This window comes from Homo sapiens, chromosome 5, assembly GCF_000001405.40.
Source record: "Homo sapiens chromosome 5, GRCh38.p14 Primary Assembly".
Taxonomy (NCBI): Eukaryota; Metazoa; Chordata; class Mammalia; order Primates; family Hominidae; genus Homo; species Homo sapiens.
Window position 1 is genome coordinate 100,882,320 of NC_000005.10, and position 16,162 is coordinate 100,898,481.

General features: G+C 33.6%; 1 protein-coding gene across 4 annotated transcripts in view; it reads right to left on the reverse strand.

Annotated features, from left to right (window-relative positions):
* The window catches only part of ST8SIA4 (ST8 alpha-N-acetyl-neuraminide alpha-2,8-sialyltransferase 4), a 96,350-nt gene that overhangs the window by 75,387 nt on the left and 4,801 nt on the right, over nt 1–16,162 (reverse strand). For 3 of the 4 annotated variants that reach the window (XM_011543630.3, NM_005668.6, XM_005272078.4), the window contains exons 2-3: nt 13,335–13,466; nt 4,024–4,281 (exon numbers count right to left, since the gene is read on the reverse strand). In XM_011543630.3, the coding sequence (XP_011541932.1) occupies nt 4,024–4,281; nt 13,335–13,466 (390 nt within the window). Of the gene's footprint in view, nt 1–2,991; nt 4,282–13,334; nt 13,467–16,162 lie in introns of those variants that run through there. The other variant, NM_175052.3, reaches the window with a different exon arrangement.

The following is a 16,162-nucleotide window of genomic DNA, read 5'->3' on the forward strand; positions in this document are numbered from 1 at the left end:
GGAACTTTGAACTTGAGAGAGATGATTTAGGGCATCTGGCAGAAGAAATTTCTAAGCAGTAAAGCATTCAAGAGGTGACTTGGGTGCTGTTAAAGGCACTCAGTTTTAGAAGAGAAACTGAATAAAATAAAAGTTTGGAAAATTTGCAGCCTGACAATGTGATAGAAAATAAAAACCTATTTTCTGGGGAGAAATTCAAGCTGGCTGCAGAATTTTTCATAAGTAACAAGGAGCAGAATGTTAATCCCTAAGACAATGGGGAAAATGTCTCCAAGGCATGTCAGAGGTCTTTATGGCAGCCTCTCCCATCACAGACCTGGAGACCTAGGAGAAAATGGTTTCACGGGCTGGGCCCAGGATCCCTGTGTGCAGCCTAGGGACTTGGTGCACTGCATCCCAGCTGCTCCAGCCATGGCTGAAAGGGGCCAATGTAGAACTCAGGCTGTGGCTTCAGAGGGTGTAAGCCCGAAGCCTTTGCAGCTCCCATAAGGTGTTGAGCCTGTGAGTGCACAGAACTCAAGAAATGGGGTTTGGGAACCTCTGCCTAGACTTCTGAAGATGTATGGAAATGCCTGGATGCCTAGGCAGAAGTTCGCTGCAGGGGCGGGGTGCTCACGGATAACCTCTGCAAGGGCAGTGTGGAAGGGAAATGTGAGGTTGGAGCCCCCCACCCCTCCCACAATCCCTACTAGGGCACCGCCTAGCGGAGCTGTGAGAAGAGGGCCACCATCCTTCAGACCCCAGAATGGTAGATGCACAGACAGCTTGCACCGTTTGCCTGGAAAAGCCGCACTCAATGCTAGTGCGTGAAAGAAACTGGATGGAAGACTGTATCCTGCAAAGCCACAGAGGCGGAGCTGCCCAAGACCATGGGAACCCACCTCTTGCATCAGCGTGACCTACACGTGAGACCTGGCATCAAAGGAGATCATTTTGGAGCTTTAAAATTTGACTGCCTCACTGGATTTTAGACTAGCACAGGCCCTGTAACCTTTTTGTTTTGGCCAATTTCTCCCATTTGGAACGGCTGTATTTACCCAATAACTGTACTCCCATTGTATCTAAGCAGTAACTAGCTTGCTTTTGATTTTACAGGCTCATAGGCGGAAGGGACTTGCCTTGTCTCAGACGGAACTTTGAACTGTGGACTTTTGGGTTAATTCTGAAATGAGTCAAGACTTTGGGGGACTGTTGGGAAGGCATGACTGGTTTTGAAATGTGAGGACATGATATTTGGAGGGGCCAGGGTGGAATGATATGGTTTGGCTGTGTCCTCACCTAAATCTCGTCTCAAATTGTACTCTTATAATTCCCATGTGTTGTGGGAGGGACCAGTGGGAGATAATTTGAATCATGGGAGCAGTTTCCCCTATACTGTTCTCGTGGTAGTGAATAAGTCTTACGAGATCTGATGGTTTTATCAGGGGTTTCTGCTTTTGCATCTCCCTCATTTTCTCTAGCTGCTGCCATGTAAGAAGGGCTTTTCACCTCCCGCCATAATTCTGAAACCTTCCAGCCATGTGGAACTGTAAGTCCAATTAAACCTCTTTTTCTTTCCAGTCTCAGGTACGCCCTTATCAGCAGCATGAAAATGGACTAATACACCACTTAAGGAAGTGCTAAGGCTATTCTGCTAAAAAATTAGATCTGTTGATTGACAATAGTGGACAAGAAACTAAGAATAGACATTCAAATCCATCTGATAGTTAGCAATAAGGTAGATAAAGAATCTAGGAGCCACAAAATATGGAGTAAAAACAGTTAAACCAGTTTACTGAACATCACTGGAGTTGGGTTACTACAGGAATGATCAATATTCCAAATTGAAATTGGAGTGCATTAATATACGGCAGATTATAGGGTTTTAAATCTAAAAAGTAGGCATGAAATTAGGTGCCTAAAACATAAAAGGAAGAGAAAATATATGTACAATATCAACTTCTAGGCATTTTGCTGGAGTAGCACCAGAGTAGCTTAGTAGTGGTCTAAATGCCCAGTAGTCCATAGTAGAGCTGTGAAGGCAATACCATCAAGTGGCCAGTTGCTGCTTGGCCAGTGAAAGAGAAAATAGGCTTCAATTTTAGAATAAGAGAGGTGGACAGAAAGATTTTTTGGGATCAGAATTTTATTCACAGGTTGACTACATCCCAGAAATCTGGAAACCTATAGGCTTGCCATAGCCAATTGCAGGGAAGTGAGATATATGCAGGCTATATAACTTCTAGAAATTGAAGGCAGGAAAAGTGAAAGTGAGAGGTGGTAATATGAAGCAAGGTTGGCCACCAGCCACTCTTAAGACAGAGAAAGAGTGTAGGAACCTACTTATTGGACACACAATTCCATGTGAGATAAGAACTCAGTAGTTTAGGAATTGAAATAATGCAAAATCCCAGTCAATAGAAACTGGAGTAACAAAGCCAGATCAGGAAGCAATAAGGAAATGATACAAACTTTGAGGACTACTGCCATCAGGCCTCTCTCATTACCCACATGTAAAAGCAGTCTTCATTTCAGAGTCACAGGTGGGGCTAAATCTAACAACTTGGCCCCCAGTGTCAAAGTTTAGAGGGACACAGAAATAAGAAGTCATTTAGACTCTATTTTCCTCCAGTATTATCACCTTTTAAAATTCCCTATTGCGATTGTTGAAATCCTTACATTGCAACAATTTTGATTATGCCTTGACATCGTTACTTCTTTGTTTTACCTGACTTATGATTTAGTCACATCAGAAATTCTAGAGGCCTTACATTTTTTCACAGCTATACTTCGCATAGACTTCGACATTTGAAGCTCCTGATTTCCACTTCCATTGCCATTCCCTCATCAAATTTTTTACATCTTCTTTCTATACAATTGTCTTTGTTTGTATCTACTTGTTCACAAGGTTTCTCTTATAGTCTAATTAGTTTAACAGTTCAAGTTTTAAAAAGCTAAATTGATTTCACATTAATCTCTGACCCTTCACCCAAGAGAGAAAAGGAAAGATAATAAGGTAAAATGTTTGCAGTTTTATTTGCTATTATGAATTTTCTTCACTTGATAATGCTTGAGTGTGATTTCTCATGACTTTTTTTTTAAAAGTAGTTACCTATTTATGCTTTTAAGACTTTATTTAAAAATATTCAAAAAATATTCAAAATATTCAAAAATAATGTATTCCAGTATATCTTCAAGAGACTGTGTTTTTCAACATGTCAACTCAGCATACTTTTCTATCTATCTTTATATTGTACTATTTCATATTTCAATATCCATGTTTCTGTCATTTAGCTAATTTTTCTAAGGAACTAAAACAATCCAAAAAAACTGTACAGATATAAAAATTGATCATTAAAAACTGCTTATATTTATGATGTGATTATAATTCCATTTCTACTGTTGAGTTTTTTTCAGTTAATAGGTTAATCAAACACACAATTCATCAAATATCTTTTAACCGTTAATGAAAAACAAACATGCACGCTTAATTATGTTAAAAAAACATAAAATTCAAATATACTAACATACACAAATACCACATATAAAGAGAAATTAAAGAAATATGGCTCAGGATATCAAATATAAACTTGCTAAACTATGTTCTTACTATCTCCTAGATAATTATTAATAAAAAGTAACATTAACATAAATCTATTACATCATTCCATAGTAATATTCATAATCTTTATACAACAAATAAAATCACACAAAACTAATGAGTATGAAGAAGAGATACTAAGAAAAAAGTTTGTGTGGAATATTAAATTTAATAAAATTGCCATTTGCCTCCCCCCTCACCTCACCAAAAAAAGCTGTGTGAATCTTGTTGCTATGACAGGATCACTTTTTCTTTCAACTACGCAATAATTATAATATTCTATTCCAGGGTAAATGTAATTTAAATGTTGCACAGAAAAGGATATCATAGACAAATATTTGTTTGAGGTTTTAGTAATACTTTAAAATTTTCTAACAGTTTTCCACCCCCAAGTAAAATATCTTTGAAAAACTTACAATCTCAAAAAGCAGAAGAAAGCTCACCTTATTACAAAATTGTGACTGTCAATCTCCTTTCCACATTCACTGTCTAACAGAATGCCAGAATTTCCAACAACTGCACAGGTCTTAAACCTGCGATTCTTCATTGGTGAAACTTCAGGTAGGAGGCTATGTAGATCATGAGAAATGTTTAGTGTCCGGCGCCTGTCAAGCACATAGTGTATGACATCACCAGGCTTAAAACTGCTCTTGACCACTGACACATCTCGTTCTGCATCTAAGAAACGAAGTATGTTCTTCCTGTATTTGAAATACAAGCAAAGTTTTACATTACCATCAGCATATCCAAGAACTGATGGTGTCATTTACAAAGTAACTTAAGACAAAATACAAATTGGCAAACTATTAATCTTAGATTACCAAATTGGTAAGCTATGAATCTTAGGTGGTGATTAAACCAATGAATTAAGTCGATTCTATAAGAAACAAAATTTTAAAAATCATTTGCACAGATTCTTAATGACTGTATACATAGATATAGTATAAACATCTATTTGTGGAGTTATAAAAAGCACTCCAATTATCAAAATATATAGAAAAATTGGTTTATTAAGTAAAACACAGTGGCCATGACTTGACTTTGAATAGTTATTCTGCTAGCTTCAGCGTATTTTGATAGTCATAAGTGTTGTTTAATATCATCTAGTTAAGGTGGAGAGAAATAATTTGAGATTGTTTTTGATTGTATCATAGTTAATGCTATTAAAAGGAATGAACTTCTCAAACTTATATACATTTATACATATGATATGTATATTATAATTATCTAAAGAAGAATTAAAACTATAGCAATAGATGTATATGCAACTTTTTCTCTAAGATCAAGAGTCCTGGAAGTAAGATGGATACATCAAAGACAAAATGAATAGATAGAACATTGGACTCTGTGTGGCAGAGGTAGCTAATTGTTCCTTAGTTTCCTTTTTTCTCTTCTTCCTTCTAATATTTGAACCTTCTAAGTTTTACTTGGGCACATGGATGCTCAGCTAGAATATTTGCAAGTCTCAAAACCCAAGTAGAGCTCAGTTGGGTCATGCAAGTTAGTTTTCTTAATTAAATAGTATATGAGTGGATCATGTGAGTTTAAGTGAGAAATAAAGAAATTTCCTACTTGTTTGGCCACTAAATTTTAAGGTTACTTTTTTGGTCAATACTTAGCCTAGCCCATACCTAATATATAAATTGATAACAGATTGAGAGGCTACATGAACGTAAATATATGCATATGCTAAGTAGGTAGATGATGGAAAATGATTATAATATATATATATAGCTGGCTGGAAAACTGATGATCCTTGGCATGATATAGAGAAGCACCTGATACAGTTGCTGTCTTCAATAATTTGGAAGTTGTGCCATGCATCTAATAAATATGTTGTTCTTGAATAATTGTTTAAAATGTGTCTGTATGTTCGTTTATGTTAGTTTCTCCTTTTAGTAAGGCACTAGAAGAGGTGAAGTCAGGCATAAAATAGCCAACTAACTTGCATGCTGAGATGAAAGGGAATACATATCTGGCAGTGCCTGTAATCTAAACTGTGTGAGAGTCTATTGATTGGGACCTTTTAAATGTTCCTGTAACCCCAATCAGCAAGAGATACCACTATAAATTGGAGCCATCCAGGCAGCAAAAGGGATATTGCCTTCCCATATAAGTCCATAGATTAAAATGACTTAAGGGTAGCTGCCATTAAATTGAGAGGAGGAAAGGATAGGTCAGAGTAATTAGAGGAGAGTTCCAAGGGTTAAGAACAGTGAGCAGAAGAAATCACTGGATGAGGTTATTTACACCTGGAACTAACAAGAAGGGAAGAGTCCGGGACCCTAGTAGATTTTAAGGAAAAAAAAAAAAACATATATATATATGGCTTTAATATCTGAGCTCTGGAGAAACACGAATCAACAAAATCTAATGCTTAATATGCATGCTTTACCAGTACAAGTTTTCCTAGTATGTGGTCAAGTTATTACCTGATATTCAAAGCAGGGGGTTGTGTTTGACTCAAACTATGAACCTGGCCTACAAAAGTCTGGAATTGTTTGATTCTAGGGGTATCCAACATAATAGGGGATATACAACATAATACCAGCAAAAAGCAATTTGAGAAAACGCTACACCTAGTTTGGAAATTGGATATTATTTACTAAAGTGCTCTTAGTGCAAGCTTGTATTTTCAAAGTAATAAAAACAATGTCATTATTATAACATTTAAGATATGATGGAAACATTTTTCCTCTAGTGCTCTTATTTTTTAAGCTCATCACAATTGGTAAATTTTATTAGTGAGAGCAGAATATAACCTCATCCCTTGACTCCATCAAAAGAGTAATTCTCTAACTCAGAAGGCATAAGCATGATTAGCAAAGAAGGGAGGAAAGTAACTCATATCTTTTCTTTTGTTGTCTTTATTTTGATTTGCTCTAAATATTTTCCAGTTTAATATTTGTTCTAATTAGAAAACCAAGTGATTGAAAAACTCTGCTCTAATTTTATAAACAAGAAATATGTCCACCAGCTAGTTGAAAAAATAATGTTATGATCTTTTTCCCCAAATATTCTGAATATCAGGTTCAAAACCAGTAGAATTTGTACAGAAAATCCTATACAAATGCTCTACAAATGAAATCACAAAAATTGATAGAAATACCACTGACACACCATAACAGTTTATCTTAACAAAGTCCAGGTTATATAAGAAGATAATTATATTTTAAATAAGCAACCCTAGGGCTTATGCATTATAGAAACTGGAAAAGTGTTTATGTCAAGCACTTAATGATTTTTCACAAAAGTTAACAACTAGCATCAAAAGTGGCAATATACAGAATTTTTTGTATATATTTATTGAGTACCACTTATTTGTCTGGTGAATAATTAATATCTGACACCTGTACTTCAACAGAAATTTCTCATTTCCTGTGAAAACGACAAGGCTGGCTCTAAAATAGAGACTACACGGATGTGGTTAAATCATCAGGCTAGATGGTGTTATCGTTTTTCTTTGAATATAATTTAAATGGGTTGCTGTAGATCTATTTGAAGATGTACACTCCCAAGAAGTGGCATGTTTGCAAGCTGCAGTGAGTAAACTAGTGGTCCTGATTTGAAAAAAGACTCTGTAGCTTGGAAATCCAAAAGGGAAAATCTATTTTATTTGGTCAAAAAAGTTAACACATGCTAGTCAACTAACGTCAAAATGGACTTTCCAATAACAGCACCTTTGCTGTGTTATAGACAGTTAGTTGCAAAAATAATGTAAAACATGTCTTTTAAGTTCCTGATTATAAGTAAACCTCTTTATTTTATTTACTCTTAGGGAAAAATGATTTAAAAAGGGAACTATAAGAGTTAAGCACAGTTTTAAAAGACATCATATTGTCTAACTCTTAGGAGAAACTAATGCTTAATAAGATAAATAATTACTAAATGCAGATTGTAATTATGTGTTTTTCCAATGTTGTTATAGGCTCAGCAGTATTTTTTCAACTGAAGCAGTGAAAATAGTAAAAGTGATTTCAAAACAGAAAAGACTACCAACTCACATAGACTAATCAAAATATAAAAACACAAAAAACTTAGGCAAAACTTGGAATTCGATATTTTACAAAGTAAAAAGAAAAAGAGGTAAACTTGAGTGACTCTGGGTTTGTTTGTTTGTTTGTTTTTTCTTATTCCTGAACCAAACTTTCAGTTTCTGTTTTAGGTCTTCTACGTATGGAAAATTATCTGAGTTAAGATTCCATTTATAGGATCCAAGAAAGACTGAAAGTAATTACTATGAGTGAATAATATTATGACTTAAGTGCTTCATAATTTTTGGAAACAGTAAGAAAAGGTTAGTTTTTTATCTCCTAGTGCAAACAGTTTTTAGATTGTAGATGTAATGGCGAATTAAAAGCTTTGTGAATTTGCTAAGTCTAGTTGTTGTTCAGACTATAAATATGAAAAAAAATTCAAGTATAATTAGCTAAATGTCATTGGAAGCATAGAAAACTCCTGTACTTAAACTGAACTGAAACAACAACATGTCACCAAGGAGAACATATATGCTTTTGCTAAGAAGACAATTGATAGAAATTTTTGTTTAACAGCAGGTCAAACAAAATTATTTCAGAAATGAGAGAGGTAGAAAGAAAACTGGCTTTAATATCTGCGCTCTATCTAGAGACACATGAATCAACAAAAGCTAATGCTTAATATGCATGCTTTACCAGTACAAGTTTTCCTAGTACGTGGTCAAGTTATTACCCAATATTCAAAGCAAGGGGTTGTGTTTTCTGTGCATGACTCAAAAGAACAAACAAAAAAAGACCCTTCACAGGTCTTTAACTGTCATTTTGTGATCCTAATTCAACTTTTGAATCCTCATTAGATAAGCAAACACCTAAATTGAGCAACTATTTTAACATTAAAGATAACTGAAGGAATCTGAAAATCTGTTTCATTTTCAGTGAAACTAAATATCTTAGTCATAAAAACTATTTTTTTTGTTAGGCAATATCAGCCTTAAACTGAAAGGTTGGTTTGGACTGTTGAACTGACAACAAGTAGAGTTCTACCCAGAAACTTTTAACTGAATTTTCAACTAGAACTTCCCTTTCAACGTCACCTATCACTTGAAATAGCAACTGCAGAATCCCAGAAAATTAATTTACTAAACATTGTTTAGTAACAAGTTTTCACTCGTGAAATGTTAAATATAACTAAGTTATCACCAAGTGCCACTCTTCTCTGTGGGTTTCTTGGCAATAATAAGCACACAGTTGCAACTAAAATTTAATCTAAATGACATTGTTAACTCCATCAGAAAATACTGTGTGACGAATCTTATAGGTGGAATGTATCACAAGTTGAGAAGCAAATTAGGCTATGATACATATGTTAGGAATCAGTTTTTGCAAACTTTAGACACTGACTACAAAAAAAAATCACTGTAAATTAAGTTAGTACTGACCCAGTTCACTAAAAGAAAATAAAAAGTAAAACTAAAAAATGCCCAGTGTTTCATTATGCCTACAAAAAAACAGAGAGAACACACATTTTTTATTTGTTTGTTTTGAAAGATTATTTTTGCAAGGCAACTTGTCTTAAAGCTCTGGAAGAATAAAACGTTTAACTGTACCTTATTTAGGATTTCTAAGTCCTAGCAGTTATGGGAAAGACATCTTAGTGTCAAAAAAAATCTTAAACACAACAAATGAAAAGGCAAAATTGTCCCACAATATTTGATGAAGAGCATTTTTAGTTTAATTTACACCCTAGAGTGCCATTTGATATTTGGTCCAGAATTTGGTAATGTTGAATGAAAAATGACTTTTGTTATTTTAGAGCAAAGAGAATCATTTATTCCATAATGATAAATTTTAATAATATACATTTGGGTACTAAAATATATTCTTAACAAAATTATTTTATAAGGTCCTGGTTCCTCAGTCAGGAGGTCTGGGTTTGAATCTTGACACTGCCACTAATAAGCTTTGTGACCCAAGATTAGCTCTATCGGTAACTTATTGATCAAAGCAAGTAGAAGATAGTATAAACATTGTATGTAGAAGTTTTTGTAAAGTAAATCTATGTATGCAATAGGAAATTTTTCTTGTCAGTTAAGCATATATAAATTTGCAATTATGTTTAGTTAACCTGCAGGTTTTATGTATTTCAGATTATTGATATATCATGACACTAAGAGCTGAAATATTTTTTCTAATTATGATGTGATAAAGCTATCCTGATGTGTACATTTGTACATTTCTATACATCTATAATTGATGTTTGCACTTTTCGGGGTTTCTAGTCAACATGTAAAAAACAATAACAAAAAAAGAAAATAAATAATCCAAATATGGAAAAAAAGTCAAGTTGCAAGTATTGGACATAACTACATAATCTCCCGTACGATGTTCACAGATTTATTCACAACATTTAATGCATCTTAAATGTGTTATTTCTTAGCTTATAATAATAAAGAACAAACTTTTATCAACAATATTAAGGCTTAAAACTAAGATAATTATTTTGAGTGCAAAGTTAGCTGTAGAATGCATAAACTCCATATATCGTGAATCCTCAAAGTACAGTGAAGTAACAGAACCATCTCTCATAGACAATTGCATAGAAGTACAGTTGTTTGATGAATACATATGAACCGATTCTTGGTGTGCTTATGAAAATAAAATAAGGCATATGGGAACAAAGGGATTAGTAATAGGGTTGAAAATCATATCCACAAATGTAAAAAAAAATTATCTCAGGAACTGTTTTCACATTTTATTATGCGGACAATTATTAGGAATATAATAAGAACATTATAAGTTTAATAAGATTTTTAAATTTCAAAGATTTATAATGATAGTTGAATCAGTAAGATAAAAAAATGGTTGGAAATAATGTCTTAATGTTCTCAATCACAAGTGAGAGTTGAACAATGAGAACACATGGACACAGGGAGGGGACCATCACACACCCGGGCCTGTCGGGAGGTGATGGACAAGGGGAGGAGAGCATTAGGACAAATACTTTATGCATGCAGGGCTTAAAACCTAGATGAGGGGTTGATAGGTGCAGCAAACCACCATGGCACATATGTACCTGTGTAACAAACCTGCATGCTCTGCACACATCCTGGAACTTAAAGTAAAATAAAAAATAAATAAAAATAAAAATAAACAAAAACTTAAAAGTAGAATTTTGAAAACACTTTTAAAATTTACCCACACCCAATCACTGACCCAAAGTGATATGGAAATTCTTAAATGCCAGAAAAGTGAGGAAGAAAGAAAATAATAACAATAATAATAAATGATCCATAATTAGTTTCTAATATCTTTTCAAAAATATTTGCAAAAGCTAAGCCAACAGTCAGATATTTTCATATTCTAAATTTTTTTATTACAGGTATCAAACTGATTAATACTCACTAGTCATTTCTGCTATAGCCAATTCTAATTTTTATGAACTCTTTGCACATTGTACAATAATGGTTTTACAAATTATCCTTTCCTTTCAAGGAAGTGACAACTTTGTATGTATTATTCAACATTTGTTCATTGTTTTATTGTTTATTTCTTTAATCTGTTAAGGAGAACCATACAAAAATAGTACTAACATTTCATTCATACTATCAGCTATTATAATTGAAAATAGATCACCCTCAAATACATGAATGTAATGCTCATTGATTTGTAAAATTGTAATACGAATCTTTTGGGTCAAGTTAGGTTTACTACCCTTCACTTGAATATGTTATTAATAGCAAAATGTATATAGCCTATTTATAGTATTTGATTTTTATATAGCTATTAGGAAAGGCATGACCAGATATAATACTTGAACTAGTGTCAATTACTTATTTAATTTACTTATTAGATTTTTTGCTATCTGACACATTATTTAGCATGGCTAGATATACTAGTTAAACTATTACAACATTTTATTTTACTTTCTTCCATCAGGTTTCTTTACCAGATCTCTATAGCCTTAATTGGCTCCTTTCTTGCTAAGCCATCCAATTTGAAAGTTATTTTTCTGCTTACAGATCAAATTTTTGCTATTTAATCACCTATCTCTCTCTCTTTCCAATATACCTTCAAGAAATATGAATCTTTACTCCATTCTAAACCAAAGTATATCTGTGTTTATAACCCCACATCAACTCACATCTTGTGACTTTTTCCTCATAATTATCTCATCTCTCACAGGGTTTCTAAATTCAAATATAAGGATGGGGATATGCGACAGAGAAGAATGCACTTGACAGGTATCATGAAAGATGTGAGCTCCAGGTATGAAAATGTCAAACTTGAGAGACCATGACTAGTGTCAGCTTTAACCAGCTAAACCTTAGGAAGAGTACAGATTCAGAGTTGTCAAATCATTCAATTTCTCAAGAGTTTATGGAAATCTGTACTTTTATTTTAAAGCCTCCTGGTTTTTAATATTGGCTTTAAGGTTTCTTTTTTATTTATCCAGTGGAAATAAATTTTTCTTGCTGGCCATATTCTACCCAGAAGTCATTGATTTATGAGCTCTGTCATCAGACTCTACTCATCTATTCATTCTTGTAGGAGGCACATGAATATAGAAAGCTCCCACCAAACTAAAAGCAAACAAACACACACCACTTGACATTGCCATGATTTGATTCCTGTTTCCCTTCCCAGTCAATTTCAAACCTTTAAACCAAAGTAGTAATACTATTCCTACATCGCCCTGATGCCCATATTTTTAAAATTTCCAGACATTCGTTCAAGTAAATTTCAACATGCTGTAATTATCTTTGCTCCAAAACATTGTGTGAAATTTCTGTGCATACTCTAAAGATGAGTGTAATAGACTAATAGACTCTTCCTTCAAATTTCTTATAATCTACATTAAAGGTAGGTATAATACAAGAAGTGAGTAGGTAGAAACCCAGGAAAATTAATTAGCCCCTTATATCTTAGTCACTAAGCTACACCTATAAAATCTGTGTGTTAATGCTAACTATTAATTGACTTTTGGATTATTTTATTATATAACGAATGTATTCTTTCACACTTTTAGTGAGTTCTTGTTTACTGAAATGCTGTGATTCAAATATACCAACCAATACAGTAATGCAATGTAACTATAAAGAAAAAACAATCTTCCTGTTTCCTCCATAATTAAGAAGGTATGACTCTAGCTTTCTTATTAGTAACAGGTTTATATCAGAAGAAAATTACATACTGGATAAACGTAGGCATGGAGTATGAGTTCAAGAGTGGGTTTCAGCTAAAATGACTAGTCTTACAAAGAAGAAGTCAGTAATCTAGAAAGCTTATTTTCTGATTTTTATCCAATTTTTAAAACATGAGCCCACACAGAAATACTCATTCACAGGATAAGACTAATTTATTTATAATCGTCAGCACAATAGAGTGTAATAGGCTCTAATTTTCAGCTAGTTGAGAAAACCCAAAAGCAGAATGAAGACTCAATAGGGAAGTTAAAGATAATTCTTAAAATATATGTCCATCCTGAGTAATTGAGTGAAGTATGTTAAATATCAGTACTCTGCTGAATATTTTATTCCATTAGTATAAAGACAATATATTCAAAACTCACATATTCATCCTTAAATCTCTGACTATATAATGATTTCAGTTTTATGGTTTCATATTCTTCAGTGAGCAACATTAAATAGAGCTGGTTCATTCTTTTATTTAAGTATTCATACTTAAACCATAAATCCAGTGTTGAATACAAGTTTGCCAAGCCCAACGTATTTGAGAACATGATGTGAAATTTATTATGCCTTAGTAAAGAAACTCACCTTATCTCTAGGACCAAAGAGGAATTGATTTTCCAACCTTCTACATTGTGCTGGAAGATTGAAGAGCCAGCCTTTCGAATGATTTTATCAGAGCTATTGACAAGTGACCGACTCAAAGACAATTCACCATCTCTGAAACAAAACAAAATTGCCAGCTTTGTGAAAGTAAGAAACATTTTGTGTATACAGCACAGTACATAATTTGAATTAATTACTGGTGATGAATTTTAGATACTTTTTCCCCTACAAGTTAGAAGGAAATACGCAAGCATGATGAAAGGTGTTATGAGGATTAAGTGAATATGACTATCAGGACAAGAATCTACACGTAATATTTTTGAAATTAAACAATTTCTGAATAAAAAAAGATCTCTATGGTACTTAAAGAAAAAAAATCACCAAATATAAAGACAGAATTACATAATTCAGCAATCTCTCCTCTGGGCATATACACAAAGGAATTGAAATCAGGATGTCAAAGAGATGCTTGCAGTCCCAAGTTCATTGTACCATTATTCACAATAGCTAAGATATAGAAATAATATAACTGTCCATTAACAGAGGAATAGATAACGAAAATGTGGTATATATACCAATGGAGTACTATTCAGCCCTTAAAAAGAGCAAAATCCTGCCATTTGTGCTAACATGAATGAACCTAGAGGACCTTAAGGTAAGTGAATAAGTGTAAAACATAGAGATAAATACCTTATAATCGCACTTATATATTGATTCTAAAACAGTGGAAATCATAGAAGTAGAGAACAGAATATTGGGAAGAAAGAGTGAATGGGGAATGGGGAGAAATTGGTCAATAGGTACAAAATTTCACACTTAGACGGGAGGAATAAGTTCTGTTGCACAACACAGTGACTATAGTTAATAATATTGTATATTTTTAAGTAGCTCCAAGAGATTTTAAATGTTCACACTACAAAGAAGTGACATGCTTTTGAGGTGATGGATATGCTAATTAGCCTGATCTTATCATTACAAAGTGTATACTTGTGTAGAAACTTCACATTGTATCCCGTAAATATATACAATTATTGTTTGGCAACTAAAATAAGATAAAACAAATAAGCTCTGTTTCCTCACTAGCTCTGTTTAGACAACAGAGACAGAATGTTTTGTAAGTGCTCCTCCATCTGTATAATTGTGATTCCTAAGATTGTAATTTCATTTTTACAGAAGGCATATATGCATAATAGAAGGGGATTCTGTTTTGAAGCAAGAATAACTTGGAATATCAGGTGATCTGGGCATGTTTGTGATTCTATGACTTGCTTGAGTTCCTAGACTCTATTCTCTTTCTAAGCCACAGTAGTCTTACCTTACCTTGAAAATTACAATAACTTTATGTAATATACAATGGCTTTGTGAGGATCAAGTAAGGCTCTGCATGTAAAAGTAATTTTTCAAAAATTGCATTGATTTCAAAACATCTCAACGAGTCACTTCCCTGACAGTTGGTGGAGAGACAGAGATTATAGTAGAGAGAAAACTCATTAAGTAGTCATTATTAGTAGTATTTTCTCTTACATTAAAAAAACTACCTCCCTGCAACCAATAGTGTCAAGCTAGTATATCATGTGGCATGGTACTAGCTGAGGTGCTGGTGGGAGTGATGATGCTGGCAGATACCTGTAATAGCATGCATGCCATTAAAACATTTATATCTGAATAAATTCATTATTCAATAGACCATTTTCTTGTACTTTATAAATGTAAACCCAGACTCAGAAAATCAAAAAGCTACTTCTTATGGTATACGAATAGTAACCATAGCCCTTTGAATATTTGTATTTATTTCTTTACATCGCCTTTTACTTCTTAGAAAGTCAAAAATATAGTTAAAAAATAACATGACTATTTGCTCCATAACAAAGTCTAAAACTGTGTTTTTTTAATGCAGGCAATCCTCTCCTAGTATCAATGGAAACATTGCCTGTGTAACAGCTATTCGATGAATTCTGTAATTGAAGCCTTATAGTTTGGTATTTTGGTTTGCATTCTTTTTTAAACATGTTAGCTTAAATCTGAAGCAGCTCAAAGCATCATCATAGGCTGCTACTCCCTGTGAAATTCATAATTCTATAAAAATTAATATCTTAAACTATCCTACTGATGAAAATGATACGTTTGCATGCCTATGCATGGCAAATAATGATTGCCTTACAGGGAGCATTTAGGATGCCAGAAAACACGGGGTGTGCTTTACTGACCATCGGCCCAGAAGTCAATTTTTATATTATATTCATAATGATAATAGCTACTTATGAATAAAAATGTGGTTATACACAGAAGCTAACGTTCACACTTTGGGAGATATGACTACATGATTTCAGGTGCAAACTATCACTATTTCTGTGGATAAGGTATATTTCTAATCATCACCTTATTAATTGATGTATCAGTGTCATCTTTTTCTAACCACAGATTGATATCATTATAATAATTATTTTCACCACCAATAAACTTTCATAGGAGAAATAAAAATATGCATGGGCTTGCACTCTTTAAGATGTGTGGAAGAGCTGGGTATGGTTGGCAGTGCCTACTCAGGAGGCTGAGGTGGGGGGATTACTTGATCCTAGGAGTTAGAGACCAGCCTGGGTAACATCACAAGTCCCTGTCTCTAAAAACTAAATAATTAACTACATAAATAATCTATAGATGATTGCTTCATTGACCTAGAAATACAGATACATTTTTACATGGCAGAATGTTTGATATGATGTTTTCAGTTGTGCCAAGCCTTTTCAGAATATCCAAGATTTAAAAAGTTTAAATCAGTGTTCTATGAATAAAATGCTACCATTTTACTC